Source organism: Homo sapiens, chromosome 9, assembly GCF_000001405.40.
Source record: "Homo sapiens chromosome 9, GRCh38.p14 Primary Assembly".
Classification (NCBI taxonomy): Eukaryota; Metazoa; Chordata; class Mammalia; order Primates; family Hominidae; genus Homo; species Homo sapiens.
In genome coordinates this window covers 4,089,900-4,106,078 of record NC_000009.12, presented here as the reverse complement: position 1 = coordinate 4,106,078, position 16,179 = coordinate 4,089,900, and the positions used below count along the sequence as shown (strand labels likewise).

At 39.7% G+C, this 16,179-nt stretch overlaps 1 protein-coding gene across 20 annotated transcripts in view; it reads left to right on the top strand.

Annotated features, from left to right (window-relative positions):
- The window catches only part of GLIS3 (GLIS family zinc finger 3), a 666,339-nt gene that overhangs the window by 384,387 nt on the left and 265,773 nt on the right, over window positions 1–16,179 (top strand). For 3 of the 20 annotated variants that reach the window (XM_047422891.1, NM_001438915.1, NM_001438913.1), the window contains one exon: window positions 11,956–13,597. The exons of 13 other annotated variants lie outside the window; for them this stretch is intronic. In XM_047422891.1, coding sequence (XP_047278847.1) covers window positions 11,956–12,021 — 66 coding nt within the window. In that variant the 3' untranslated portion in view covers window positions 12,022–13,597. Of the gene's footprint in view, window positions 1–11,955; window positions 13,598–16,179 lie in introns of those variants that run through there. 4 more of the 20 variants (XM_047422893.1, NM_001438916.1, NM_001438914.1 and 1 more) reach the window with 2 other exon arrangements.

Here is a 16,179-nt window from a genome sequence, read left to right as displayed (position 1 = left end):
TGTGACAATGGGACAGGTGCCGTTTGTTTCTGAAAGCTCCAAACTGCATCGTAAATTGAGGTGGGAAGTATTCAGGTTCTTGCGGCATGGATTGAGTTTATTGTAATTATCTCTAGTTGTCCCTCCCTGTAGCAAGTATTTCCCCCAGCAGCCTAGTGAATTGACCCACTGCTGGTGAGGACTCTAACTTCTTACAGCTTGGGTCACCCCGATCGTGTTCTATTGTGTGTCCTGGAAAGGCCAGATTTAGATTGTGACTCTGGTTTTGTGCTGTGCCCATAGAATGAGGCTTTATGGTGGAATCAGTCAAGAACAGAGCTGTATAATCTGAATAAGGGAGAAATCACTCCAACTGCTTACTCTATTGAGATAGTAAATCAAAACAAACAACTGTGTCACTATCACTTTTCAAGAATTCAGAACTTCGGAAAAAATGAATGTCACTAGACCACAGAGTCAGGAAAATAGATCTTGGTAAATCAATGGGCAATTTAGTTTAAAATTAAGAGTACATATTGACCATTTGCAGTGTCAATGATTTATTTTCAAGGAGGAATTTCATAAAAGGCATTTTTAGTTGCCTGATTATACATTTCCTCCAAAGATGGTTTGCTAATTGCCATCAGTGAGTAATAGGGGTTGCCAAAAAGGAAAAATAAAGTCCATTGTGTTCCAAAGGAATGATGCTGCCAAGTGTCTTGACAGGCTCCTGCTGCACTTGTCAAACAGCTGTGCCTGGGAGTGAAATTATGAAGTTGGATTCTCACTTAGCCAAGATTAGAATAGGCTTAATTGAAGGTGTCTCCAATGGGGGATAATTTCAAATTCTTAAGTACAGAATCCATGCATTTCTAAAAAACATCCTACTGACCATCTCTAAATCACTTTGTTTTGTTTCTGCCTTCATTTTCACTCAGATAGGTATGATATGAAATTTAAAAGAGGAAAGGAAATAAAATTGTCTTCATAAGGAAAAATTCTAAGGTTATTAACATAATTATTTCACTTATAGATATTTTAGATCTTTAAATATTTGGCTTACATTTTAATACTGAATTGTTCATCTAATTATAGGTGTGCATGTTCTCTTGGTCTCCAAATGTGACTTTCAGGTGCAAAACAGCAAGGCCTCTAACAACTATCTCTATTTCACTCATTTGACTATTTATTAAGCAACTATTTCATGCCAGTCTCTCTTCTAAGCACTGGGGATCCAGCAGGGAACAGATCAGACCCCTGACTCCCATCCTTCTGGAGCTTACACTCTGGAGGGGGAAGATAATAAATAATGCAGATACCTGGGGGAGGAAAGTTCCAGGCAGAGAGAATAGCAAGTGCAAAGGCCTCAAGGCAGGAGTGTTGGCCAAGTGTGTTCTAGAAACATCAAGGAGTCCAAGGTGGATGGAGTGGAGTGAAGAGGAAGAAGAGAAGAGACTGTGATGGAGAAATGGGGGCTAGATTGTTTAGGACCTTGGAGGCCACTGAAAGGATGCTTTTGAGTAGAGGAGTGATAGGGTCTGACTTATGTTTTAATAGAATCCCTAAATGCTATGTGGAGAATAGATTGAAGGGGAACAAGGAGTGGAAGTTGGAAGACCAAACCTCTTAGAATTGAGGGCACTGCCGTAGCCTTCTGTCTGGTCTTTCTACTTAATATCCAGTGGTAGAAGTTGGGATAGCTGGTTGGATTCTGGCTATCTAAACATAGGTAGACCTGAATTGCATATGAGGTATAGAGACAGAAGTGTCAGAGGTAACTTTAAGGTTTGGTTCATGCACCTGGAAGGAGGGGGGTTATCTTTAACTGAGATAGGGATGATCATGGGAGATTTAGGGAGGGAAGCAGATCGGTTGATTTTGGACTTGTTAAGTTTGAGGAGCCTTTTAGACATTCAAATAGTGAATCTGGAGATCAGATGAGAAGTCTAGACTGATGCCATTTTTGGGACCACCTATTTCTAGGTAACATCTAAAATTATGAGACTGACTTACCTAATTTAAAGTGAAATGAGTAGAGTCATGACAACATTGGTGCCTACCCTGTATTCCATCGTTGAGGGACAGGTTGGTGGAAGGTGAGAAGAGTAGAAGAAGGAGTGAATTTCTGTTTACCAAACACTGTGTATGTCCTTAGTCTTGCGTTGCTGTGTTACCCTTACTCCACCTTGGATGTATCAAGGAGAATTGCAAGGGGCCATTGAAAGCAACAAGGTGGAATTGAAGAGGTTGTTCCAAGTTAGCCTGCCATCAATATACTTGTGTTTATGCTTCCAGACCAGAATATAGTCAAACAGAAAACAAGAGGGACCTCTTCCAAGAGAATACATTGATTTCCACCCTCATGGTCTTATGCTCTTAAAATTGGTAGGCATTAAAAACAGTATCCATACATCTGAGTTCCTACAGAACTCAGCAGTGTGTAAGCAGACACTCTGAGAAACGGTATTGTGTTAGTTCTACCATGAGGGTGACATGGGGATGACAGAGTCCAGGAACAGACTGGAAGACTTCTTGGTCATTGTGTGTTGAGAGGATTCAAACAGCAATTGGTAGTTTTTTTCTGTCTTTCCAACAGTGAGATTATAAGGTTATATCTTTTAATAAGTTAATCTCTCAGTGAATTTGGTGGTATCTCGTGTTCCCTGAATGTATCTTCTCAGTTGCCGGGCTTCTCCTTAGAGTGCCTGCTCTGGTAATGTCTCCATGGTATTGATGAGAAACAATATGAAATGGCTACTGGCTGGAAGGTCTTATGGGTTGTACTCAGGTTCACATTCTAAATGTTCAAGGCTCCTGTGCTGTTCTTGACCAACGAAGCCTAATGAGTCTGTAAAAATAATTTTAATTTTAAGATTACACAATTATATTTCTTCTTACTGTAGAAACAGCTAAATGAAAAACCTTTTGTGTACTATGTGTTGAATTTGTTTACTGTGATTATGATAGCTAGGGAACAAAACTTTGTGTTTTAGCTTTTGGAAAATTTTATGATGTTCATGTCTATGGCAATAAAACTTCATTGGCTCCAGCAGGATGCCTCTTTTATTTGACTGGAGTGTTATGTCATGTCCAAACACAGAGAAAAGATAGGGATTTTTTTTTCATTTTACATGTATTTTTCCTTTCTATTGCCTCCTGTCTTTCCAACACCTACTTATTCCTCTGTCTTTTCCTTCTATGTAAAGCTCTTAAGGATGACATAGAAAAGAAAATGGAGGTTGCAACAGTGCTTGAAAGGCTTATGTGTGTGTATTTGTTTGTGTGTGTTTTCCATCCACTGACTACGAAAAAAAGCATATCCAGTGCTTAAAAAAGGTGACATTTAATATTTAAGACTGTGTCTTAGGGACTTGAGATTTATTTATTATAATATTTATATTCTCTAGTAAGATATACTATCCTACTAGTTACGGCAGTGCTTTTTAAGCTCAGCACTATTGACATTTTGGACATTTGGACTGGGTTTTTGTTGATGAAGGGCTCTGTTGGATATTGTCGGTTGTTTAGCTGCATCCCGGGCCTCTAACTACCAGATGCCGATAGCACCTTCTGTACCCTCAGTAGTGACAAACATGTCTTCAGGCATTGCTGTATGTCTCCTGTGGAGAAAAACTGCCCCTGGTTGAGAAACACTGAGTGACAGGAACCAGAATTTATAAGCCTTATTCATTGTAGAGACAGGGCCGTTATTCTGAGATTTCAGTCAGTGCCTGAAACACAGATACTTGGCTTAAAAAACCACTTCGCTTAGCCGCTTCCCCAGCCTCACAAGGACCCTGACCATGACCTCTTTAGCTTCTGATGACTACTTGATGGGGGAAGTAATGCTTCATGCTTCCAGAATTATAGTAGGAAGGAATGTAAACTGTTCCAAGTACTTAGTTGACCCTGGGGTTTTCTTATAGAAATACTGACATAAATGGAGAATTGTCTTAGAAGAATGGTTGTGTCTAGAATTTATCTTCTTCTGGTGGAGAAACCCTGGGGCAGAAATAGTGCAGTATTTTAAGCCAGATTTCTAGACTTAGATGGAGAATAATCCTTATAAGTGATCAATTGCTCATCCATTTCAGCATTGATATTAAAACCATAATATATGGAAAATATACAGAAAATGTGTGGTCTAAGTTTGCAGTTTTACAGCATCTGTGTCCTTGGATGCTCTGCCACTTTGTTCTGGAAGTGAAACCTAGTTCATTCTTCTGATTGGAATAAGTTGTGGAAAGGGTGCACTTTTGGTGCAAGATGGCATGAGATACAGTGACTCATTAACAGGAAAGAGTTATCTTTCCATCATGACCCAACTTTGATAAGAAAAGCCAAAAAGAAGCTTGAGATCTACAACTATGTCAAGCCGGCAGTGCTTATAAGATTAAACTTTTTTTGAAACCAGCTAATTGGAAACAGTTTAAAAACAAACAGCTTTCTGAATCTTAATCAGGAATATAGTAGGTATAATTATTGGTGGTTACATGTATTACCCTAGAAAAATAATTTCTAAATTATAAGATTGTTTAGCTAACGTGTTCTACCCAGGAGACTTGAATCTAGACTGAGTTTTGGGATATTTTGTTTAGAACAACTAGTAGCAATAATAGACACTGACAAATGATAACAGCTTTATATGGTTTATACAGAATAATAAATATCCCACTATGCTCATGAAAGAACAAAATTAAGTAAGAACAGCTGCATTTGGACATTTAATTTTGGACCCCAGAGAGAAAAGACTTTTCATAGTTTGAGACACACTGTAGGGAAGCTGTGCTATACCCCAGAGAGTAACATCTTCCATTGAAGTCAAGTTTACAAAGCACTGTCCCATGCATAATCTCACTGGACTCTCACAGTAATCCGTTGCAGTAGAAAAGATGGTTGCAATTTTTATTTCCATTTTAAGGCGAGGAAACAGCTCAAGTGATTTTATGTAAGGTCATACACCAGTAAGTACTGGGTTGTGAACCAGGACCCAGGGTTGTTGGTTTCCTTGGCCAGTACTTTTTTCTGTTCCACCGCAGCCTTCCGTGAAGATGCTGTGATTTATGTTTCCTTCATTTCATACTCTGCTGTTTTCCAGGGGCCCCCAGCCCAGTTCCTTCCTCCATTCACACCAGGGCTGGCTATTATATTACATAACTCCAGCAGTGCCATTTATTTTGTGTTCCCTGATATTGTACAACGAGAGGGTTCCAGGAGGGGTGCCATGCACATAGATTACGTAGAATTCCATCTATGGGGGCAGTTTCTACCCCAGGGTTAGTTAAAACCGTAGAGGGATAACATAGATGAGTAAAATGGCTTTCTATGCTCAGGAGACTTACAAGAATTAGTTTTTTTCCTTTGTCCCCCCCTCAATATTATACCACTTAGAACACTAGATAATTCTATACTACTACTTGTAGAAACAGTCAACTGAGTCCTGCTAAATTAAAAAGAAAGAGACACCACTGGTTTATTCCTTTGGTTAAAAAAAGCCCTCAGAATTTGACACAGAATCATTTCATCCTGTTTAAGATTATGTAATTTTGTCCTTTTGAATTTGGTTATTCCAGAAAATGTACGTTTTTACTTAATGCAAAAAACTGTACATCTCTGAATCATATTTTCATGGTGTATCGGAAGTGAGCTTTTTTCCCCTTTGTTTTCCCTGATTATCCAGGTGTCTTTTATCCTATGTTGTTGTACTCCCCCATTTAAAACATACAAATACTCTCTCTCATGTTTCCAGAAGTTATTTATCTTCTTTCCTTGGGACTAAAATGCATGTAAGGGTGTAAGGTTAATGACTAGGATAGTGTGTGGTTTAACAGTTCAGCCCTGGCAGGGAGCGGGGCCAATTATGGTGGAAGGGAAATGACTTCCCAGTGTAAACCTAGTACCCGCATACTACACCACCTGTTCTGGTTTCTGTTCTAGGAACTCTTTTACCGATATATAACAGAAAGAAAACTAAGTCAGATTGAGAATACCATGACCTTTTATTGTTACACAATTTTACGTTTCAAAACATTCTTCTGTAGTATGTGTCATTTTATTCTTACAAAATCCAGTATGGGAGGCAGAATGAGTGGTCTAATTATTTCCAGTTTACAGGCTGGGAAACTGAGAGTCAGAGAAATTACATGAGAGAATTGCCCAAGTGAAGAGATTATTAAACAGATGACGAAGTCTTTATGTTATGATGTAAATCTTTTCATTTTCACCCAAAATAATATTAGGAATTTGAAGGTGAAAACAAATCTTTTATCAATTTAAATTCTCTGTGGAATGAGGTGAGGTATGAGTACAATGCAGACATTTTAAAATATGATATTTCTCTTCATACTTAATATGCAACTTATTGTATCCTGCAAAACAGAAACCAATAGAAATTAAGTTGGGAAGGGACTTAGAGAGAGTCAAACCGCATTTTGGAGCAGGACTTTGTTATGGGTTGAATTACATTCCCCTAAAAGAGGTATGTTGAAGTCATCACCCCCAGTACCTCAGAATGTGACATTATGTGAAAACACGGTCTTTAGAGAGGGAATCAAGTTGAAATGCATTCATTAGGGTAGGCCCTGGTTCAGTGCAACTGGTGTTCTAATAAAAAGGAGAAAGTTGGACACAAAGACATGTGTGCATTGGGGGAAGGTGATGTGCAAAGACAGAGGCTCGGGGGGGCAACTCCAAGTGAAGGTGAAGGCAAGGATTGGAGTGACGCATCTGCAAGCCAAAGATTGCCAGCAAACCACCAGAAACTAGCAGAGAGGCATAGAACCGATTCTCCTTCAGAGCCCTCAGACCCACACCTTGATTTCAGACTTTGAGCCTCCAGACCTATGAGATGATACATTTCTGTTATTTTAAGCCACCCATTAAAGACGATGCATTTCTGTTATTTTAAGGTTGTGATGCTTTGTCATAGCAGCCCTAGGAATCTAATTCAGACAGCCCTATGTGCTGGCCACCTGCAGGCTGCTGCAGGTGCCCATGCCTCTTATTCCTTCTTGCCATCATGACTGCAGTAAGCCAAGCTGTGGGACATTGCACTTTGTCTTGAGGGCAGTGGGAAGGGTCAACCAGATGTGTCTTCGGGACACATTCTGGTCTGTTATGTGTCAGGGCTTCAGACTTACTTGTAGTGTGTGTTTTCTGAAGCTGACTATTGGGAGTTTTGGGATCAACACATTGAGACCTGGATGTGAGTATCTCCTACTTTGAGCTCTGCATGCGGGTTTATGTCTGTTGGCAGTACGTGAGAACTAATTTGGGGTGACAAATGAGTAAGTTTCTAGGGGAAATTAATTGAAGAGTATATTTTTATTTAAATCGTGATCCTTGGAATTTTACATTTCCATTTCGATCGTAAAACTTTTTACGATAAACAGAAAGTAAAAAGGTAAAGAAGTATGATATTACGGCAAAGGATGAGGCAGAATATTTCAATAAATTTGAGATTACGTTTTTAGAACTACACCGATGGTTTTAAGGCACAGTTGTAGGATACATAGTTGGGAGAAAGAAATGCTGCAGAGGCCTTAGTTCCCATCCAATTAATCTCTCAGGGTAATTTGTTTACTGGATTCTGCTGCCAAACCTATGGGTTGCTTTCTTCAGGGGTGAGGGTTAGTCGATGAAGCCATTTGTTATGTTTCTGTTACACCGTGTATCGATCTTGCTCATGGAAAATGTTAGTGGTGTCCCTTCTATATCATTCATCTTCTACTCCTCCATTCATTATTTCCAGCCCCCCATTAGTAATTCTTGTGTCACAGAGGGACATCTCATTAGGAATATACCAAGGTCAGTGAATGACATGGCTTTGTGTTGCTGCAAGATTTTTTTTAAAGGCAGTCATTACTCAGATTGCAAAAGGGAACTAGCATTTAAGTAAGAACGTGTTACAAAGTTTCGAAAGTGAATTCTTCTGTAGCTTCAGTGAGATCCTGAGAGATGGGAATTTGTTTTTATTTTCATATCTCTCAACTGCACCAGCTCTTCATTCTTTAATCATCCAGTGTCCTGCTGTGTGGAAGACTCTATGTGCCTTTCAGTGTGATGCTGAGACCCTGATTTTAAAAAGTTATGAACTATTTCTGATATACGTAAAACTGTAAGAGTAATATGACAAATACCAAAATAGACCGATGGAACAGAATGGAGCCTAGAAATGACCCACAAAAAAAATTGAAAATATGTTAGAATTCAGACTTTTTTGTTTTGTGGGGTTTTTTTGTGTGTGTCTTAATTGGTTAGTGGGCCTTCCCACTGCTTTTGTGGATGATGCAAATCTGGCACCTTTGGGGTTCTTAGGATATGATCTCAATAAACTGCCTGTGTTTATCAGAGTCAGGATTTAACCAGGAGATGTTTTTCATATTGAGCAATTCAGTGTGCTTCACATTCAACAACAATAGCACTGCACATACCGATGGTTGTTTTTATTCTAAAATATTTTATCTTGGCAAAATATTTTGGTCAGTATGCGAAGCTGGTAAAATCTCTGGCATTTTGCATTGAATTACCCATAAATTCCTGAGATCTTTAATCAAAAAAGAGGGAGGAAGCTGGCGGAGGTGGTCCTAAGAGATGCCTCCTCCCTTCCTCTGCCTTCTCACTGAAGGGTGTGCTGGTGATTTCTAGGATAGAGTGAGAAGACCATCAGCTGAGCCCACCCCTTCTTGCCCAGGTGGGCACTGAGGCCCAGGATTTCACCTAGGCCTGTGTGTTTCCCTGTTCCTTCTTCTAGGATGGACATCCTGTTATGTTATAGATCTTCACTCAAGCAGAGACTCACTCATACTTTTTTTTACTTTGAATCCTGGAAAATATTTTCCTTTTGACTCTTAATTTATGGTAGAGGCAATATCAGTTCTCTGTGGCTTCTGGTGGCAGGCAGATGGAAGAAAGGATGTTCTGCCCCAACAAGTTGGAGATGTGCAGCTCGCCAAACCTTTAGGGCCCTAATGGGAGGAAGATTTCTGTGAACAGAAGCCCTCCCCATGGAGTAAGGAGTGATTTGCTTCCAGCGTATCTCACCCTTTGTTTCCTTTCCACCTTTGTTTGTTTGTTTATTTATTTATTTGAGACAGAGTCGTGCTCTGTTGCCCAGGCTGGAGTGCAGTGGCACGATCTCGGCTCACTGCCACCTCTGCCTCCTGGGTCCAAGAGATTCTCCTGCCTCAGCCTCCCGAGTAGCTGGGATTACAGGCGCCTGCCACTGTGCCTGGTTAATTTCTGTATTTTTAGTAGAGACGGAATTTTGCCATGTTGCCCAGGCTGGTCTTGAGCTCCAGGGTTCAAGCAATCCACCTGCCTTGGCCTCCCAAAGTGCTGGGATTACAGGCTTGAGCCACCATGTCTGGCCAACCTCCTTTAGTTTATAAGCTGTTCTCCGCCCCCTTCATTTCTACCTCTCCCCTCTCCTCTCTCTCCAGCCTTGTTTAGAAGACTGGATCACATCACAGATAATTCTCCTGAGCTCAGGGAGGGAATCGTCCACACTAGGAGTAAATTCGGATTAAATGTAATTTTAATTTAGTCCTTCAGCCACTAACTTTAAGTAAATTCAGTAAGGACTCCACCACCCCCAGCTCCAACCCCACCTTTAAAAATTATAAATGACTACTGAATTAAAGAAAGGGTCATTGAGAACTTAGAGTTCTGGAGTTATGTGCAGGATGAATGTGTTACTTTTGTTTTTCGTATGAGTTAACAATACAAATGACCTTTCAGTTGAAAACTATTCCTGGACTATGTAGGAGTGATTCACTGTATGTCCTTATAACACAACTGGTAGGAAAAAAGAACCAAACACCCAAATTTACCTTAGTCTAAACAGAGTTAATTAACCGCACATCGTCTGGTTATTTTAGCACTATGTAGAAACACAGATTTTAAGTCACTTTTGGTGATTCAGAGTTTTGTTTTGTTTTTTTAAATGTGAACTATTTAATCCTTTGGTCAATGAATTTATCTTTGTTTTTTTCTCCTTATTTTCCTTTAAAAATATATCTCTCTTCTTTGTATTTAGATGTGTTTCTATTGTGACAAAATCTGTGATAGAGACTTTTTTTTTTTTTTTTTTGTATAGGTTACTGGGTGTAGAGAAAATACAACAAAGAGCAAGGAGCCCATTTTTGTAGGCAGAACCATTTAGGTTTGATTCCTTGCTCTGTAACTTGTTGGCTTTGAAACCAGGACAGCAACTTCTCTGAATGTCAGTTTCCTAGCCTGTAAAAAGAGAATAATACTTACCTTGTGGAGTTGTTGGCAGGGTTAAGAGACGTATTGGAGAACTACAATGGCAGACAATTAGTAAGAACTCACTTCTTAAGTGTTAATTCCTTTTTCCTTTTGTGTGGGTTTAGCTCAGTTTAGCTGTAGTACAGATGGATCATTAAACATGAAGCAAATTTATAGCTCGCTCACTTTCATCATTCACGGATGAGTAGTGTTGTCTTGTTCAAGAGGACAGAATTGTTGGTAGAGGAAACATTAGAACTCATATGTTCCTTTCTTAGGCCCAGACTCTTCCTCTTCTAATATAGCTTGACCCATCATTCAGTAATCCTTACTGTTGAATTCTATAAAACATAGCAGCCACTTCTGCAACCCTCCCAATCTAGTCCCACCAAAAGATTTGGAGTTATGAGCAAATACAATCTCAATCTCTATCTACTTACTAGTGAAGGCAAAGTTATAGTACATATAATTTGTAGGTCCTGTGGTTGTTATGAAACCCCTTCATTACTATCTCTCCTGAAATTTAGAAATACTCAGAATTTGGATAGCTTTTTGGTACAGCATGAGTTGACACCCGGTTAAAACATTTATGTCCAGAAGTAGAAAGGCTAGTTCAAAGGATGTGTACATAGAACAGAGAATACTAGAGGCTGGGAAGGGTAGGGGGAAGGCGGAGATAGGGAGAGATTTGTTAAAGGATACAAAATTACAGCTAGATAGGAGGAATAAGTTCTAGTGTTTTATTCATCTGCAGGATGACAATAGTTAATAATAACATAGTGTATAGTTTCAAATAGCTAGAAGGAGGGTATTGAATGTTCCCAACACAAAGAAATGATGAATGTTTGAAGTGATGGATATGCTAATTACCATGATCTGATCACTATGTATTACATGTATTGAAACATCACTATGTGCTCCATGAATATGTACAATTATTATGTTAAATAAAAATAAAATTAAGCAATTAAAAATACTTCATTTGATATATAGCAAATATCTTTGCATTGTGATTTTAAAATTTTGTCCTAGTTTGTGAGCCAAATAACTTCAAGTGGCTACATTAAAATAAGCCATCGGATCTAAGATCATTAATTTTAAGACCTCCTAATTTTAGGAATGTTAAATGAGAACATGTTGTCTTAGAATAGAAGAAATGTACAGGCATGGTCCTTTAACACTGGCTAGTTGAGAAATGAGAGTATTTGGATTTTGATATGTGCACATAAATACCCTTACAGGTTTTATGACTTTCATTCAGTTATTTATGAATGTTCAATTGTATTTGCCATGGTAGTAACGGAACATTCCTGTTATAGGCTGAGGATTGTAAAATGTTACTAATCTAAATTGTTGAGGATCATATTATCCCACTTTGACCTTTATAGCACTGGCACGTAACCTGTCTCTAAAAATAGCAACTAGTAAGTATATTTTATTTAGAGTAAAAAAACAAAAATTAAAACAGAGGAAATGTTGGCAGATTTCACTAACATAGGAGATTGTACTGATTTGCACTCTCACTAGCCACATATGAGCATGTCAATTTCTCCTACATCTCACCAACACAGTATATTAGCAAGATTCTGATATTTACTAATCTGGTAGGTAAGAAATGTTTGTCTTCTTAATAATTTGATGACCCAGCTTGTTTTCCTCAGTTCCTCTCGTTCCTGCTTTCCTCTTCTCTTCCATGTTCCACTCCCATCTCTTTCTGTCTATCATCAGGTATTTTTGGTTGAGATTTTCACGTGCTTAAAGCCATTGATTGGGAAGCATCCACGGAACAGATGATCTGGAAGAACCCAGAGTTCAGATATTTGCAGGAAACTGAATTCAACGAGGATGATGAAAAAAAGCAATGAATCACTCTTAAGAACTAGACAGCAGCAAATTATCGATTCAATACACAGTTGACCTACAATTCCACAGTTTCTGAGATGAGGTATTATAAGGTGAGACCTCAGGGTTACTGAAGTATTGATAAGGCCTTCTGGTCAACTTGTCTTGTCATAGCCAAAGAATACATGTTTGGCCTTAAATGGCCTAAAATTTAAAAATATATATATAGATATTTAGCAGCATGAAATCCAGCACACATAACTGCAATCTAGAAGAGTTGCAGATACACAAATCAAACTCAGCCAGTGGGTTAGCAAGGAAGCTGAAGGTGCCTTGTCCTGTGATAAGCTTCCTCAAGACCAGTATCCAGTCTTCTGAGTATTTATAGCCCCTTATCATACCACTAGAAGGCCAAGCCCATAATAAGCATTTGCTCCTTGCCAGTTTAAAATGTGCTAGAAAACCAAGTGACTTTGGATTTAGGGCCAGCACCCTGAGTTATTTTTAAGCCTTCAGGCCACCCTTCTGTTCAGGCTTTGGCTGAATAGCCCCTGCCAACCCGAGGGAGGAAGTACCGAGTCTCTGAGTCTGCTCTCCTCTGTCTTCCACATGCTTTGGTTCTTCCCTTGTGCACGCTTTGCAAGAGGGGGCCTTACTCAGTGCAAACACTGGGGGCAAAGTGACTGGCTCTTTTCAGTATTTTTCCAGCAGGAACATTCATTCATTATATTAACTTTTTTTTTTTTTTCCAGGCAGCATAGCATAGTGATTAAGAGCGTGGACTCTGGAGCCAGACTGCCTGGATTTAAATCATGACTCTGCCACTTACAGGCTGTGAGGCCAGCATGTTACTTTTCCACTTAGTACCTCATTTTTCTCATCTGTAAATGAGGATAATTAAATATACATGCAGGCATGTGCCACATAACAACATGTTGGTCAAAGAGTGGCTATGTACACATACAACAGTGGCCCCATAAGATTATAAAGGAGCTGAAAAATTCCTATCACCTACTGACGTCATTGCTAATGTCACATCATGGAGCAATTCATTATTCACGTGCATGGGGGTGATTCTGGTGTGAACAAACCTATGTCACTGCCAGTTGTATAAAAATAAAGCACATATAGTTATGTACAGCACATAATACTTGATAATAAAAATCTGTGTTGCTGTTTTATGTATTTACTATACTATACGTTTTATTATTATTTTAGAGTGCTTTCCTTCTGTTTATAAAAGAAAGTTAATAAAACAGCCTCAGGTTGCTCCGTCAAGAGGTATTTCAAAAGAAAGCATTGTTATTATGGGAGATGACAGCTCCAGGCTTGTTACTGCCCCTGAAGACCCTCCAGTGGGATGAGATGTGGAGGTGGAAGACAGTGATATTGATGATCATGACCCTGTGTAGGCCTAGGATAATGTGTGTATTCATGTCTTACTTTTCAACAAAAAATTTAAAAAGTTTAAAAAAATTTTTAAAAGCTTATGCAATAAGGAAATAAAGAAAGGAAATATTGTGGTGCAGCTGTACAGTGTGTTTGTGTTGTAAACTGAGTGCTTTTACAGAAGAATCAAACAAAAAATAAAGTTTATTGGGAGGCTGAGGCAGGCGGATCACGAGCTCAGGAGATCGAGACCATCCTGGTTAACATGGTGAAACCCTGTCTCTACTAAAAATACAAAAAAATGAGCCAGGCATGGTGGTGGGCGCCTGTAGTCCCAGCTACTCGGGAGGCTGAGACAGGAGAATGGTGTGAACCCAGGAGGCGAGGCTTGCAGTGAGCCGAGACTGCGCCACTCCACTCCAGTCTGAGCAACAGAGCGAGACTCTGTCTCAAAAAAAAAAAAAAAAATTGTAAAACAGTTACAGTAAGATAAATTTATTATTAAAGAAAGAAAAATTTTTAATAGATTTAGTGTAGCCTAAGTGTACAGTATTTGTAAAGTCTACAGTTGTGTACAGGAATGTCCTAGGGTCTCACGTTTCTCAGCACTCACTCACCCAGAACAACTTCCAGTCCCACAGACTCCATTCCTAGTAAGTGCTCTATACAAGTGTATCATTTTTTTTTATCTTTTATATGGTATTTTTACTGTACCTTTTCTGTGTTTGGATACCATACCATAGTATGTTTGGATATGTTTAGATACACAGATACTTACTGTATTATTCTGTTTCTCACGCTGCTATAAAGAACTGCCCGAGACTGGGTAATTTATAAAGAAGAGGGGTTCCGCAGGGCTGGGGAAGCCTCAGGAAACTGACAATCATGGCAGAAGGGAAAGCAAACACATCCTCCTTCACATGGTGGCAGGAAGGAGAAGTGAGAGTCGAGCGAAGGGGGATGCTCGCCATACGTACACTCTGCTGTTTATACAACAAAATCACCTAACACATTTCTCAGAACATATTCTTGTCATTAAGCGACACATGACTGCACATTCATACTTATGTGGTTGTGTGTGTGTGTGTTTGTGTGCACGTGTGCGTGTAGTCTAATGAAGTGCCTGACTTATGGTAAGTGATCTGTGTTTATTATTATTGTTTTTATTTTTATTTCCACTAAGGATAAATGGAAAATGCTTACCGTGTACCAATCTTACAAACGTTTAATTATTTTTTTAACTTAATTTTTTTTGAGACGGGGTTTCACTCTGTTGCCCAGGCTGGAGTGTGATGATCTGATCATGACCCACTTCAGCCTCGAACTCCCAGGCTCAAGAGATCCTCCCACCTCAGACCCCCAAGTAGCTGGGACTACAGATGTACACCACCACGTCTGGCTAATTTTTAACATTTTAAAAATTATTTTTGTAGAGATGGGGTCTCACTATGTTTACCAGGCTGGTCTCCACCTCCTGGACTCAAGCCATCTTCCCACCCAAGACTCCCAAAATGTTGGGATTACAGGCATGAGCCACCATGCCCAGCCTCAAACATTTTATACATACTAACTTTACTTGCAACAACTTAATGGATATCATCATCCCCCTTTTTATATATGGACACTAAGGCACAAAGAGGTTAAATACATTGCTCAAGGAACTTACCTAAGTTAGAAAATGGCTGAGCCAGGGTTTGCAGTCAGATTCTAGAACCTGCAGTTGTAACGACTGTGCTATGCATGAAACTTCTCTTGCAGAATGTACAGTCTAGTGACTCCAGCATACCAGCAATAGTAATAGTCACAACCTCAGCAGTAGCAGTTGACAGAGGGTGTGTTTTGTGCTATGTTTACCACTTCACGTGCTTAAGCTTATCTCTTCTTCCCTGGGCCTTATGAGGGAGCTACTACTAGCGGAAACTAAGGAACACTGGATGCCGTGGCCACCAAGTGGTGGAGCCATAATTTCAGCCTAAACCTGTCTGATTCCAGTGTCCTTGCCCTGAATGCCACCCTGAGCGTTTCCAGTTGGGATTCTGTGTCTTGGACCAGGTGGTCCAACTGCTATGTGTTCAGTGGACTTGGAAGCTTTCCCTTTTCTTTCCGCCCTTAGCTTTGTCTCACTTGATTCTGCCTGGAGAGCCTCATTAATTTTTTTTTTTTTTTAAACTTTAAGTCCCAAAGAAGGCTAAACTACAGATTCTTTGTCACATCCTGGGTACTGTAACCAAGTCTTATTTTGTTTTTATTGAGCGTGAATCAGTTTTAGATCCTCGAGATGAATGAATTCAAGGGCTTTTCTTAAACTCAAATCAAATATATATTGAGCCAGGACCGCAGTTTGAATCTGTTGGGCTGTAGGCAGGAAGGCAGCACTAAGGAGAAATCTAGTGTTTCCCAAAAGATAATGAGGACAGTGGGCCTGTGTAGAAGGGAAGGGGCAATGCCAGTCACCTGTGTCACAACTCTGCCTAAAATGGGTTTTAGGGATGGGATCCACTTCTGGGACAAGTGCTTTGACAAAGCTGGTATGGGAATAGGAATCATACCCCCTGCAGTCCCTGTGAGCCCAGGCAGGACAACCCACTGACACAGGGCAGAAGGGAGCAAGCGAGGAGCAGAGTTCTGGACATTGCACCCCTCTGCCGTGGGCATGGCACACAGTGGGAGGCACCACTTTGTCTGAACAAAAATAAATACTCCTCTTTATGATCACCCGGA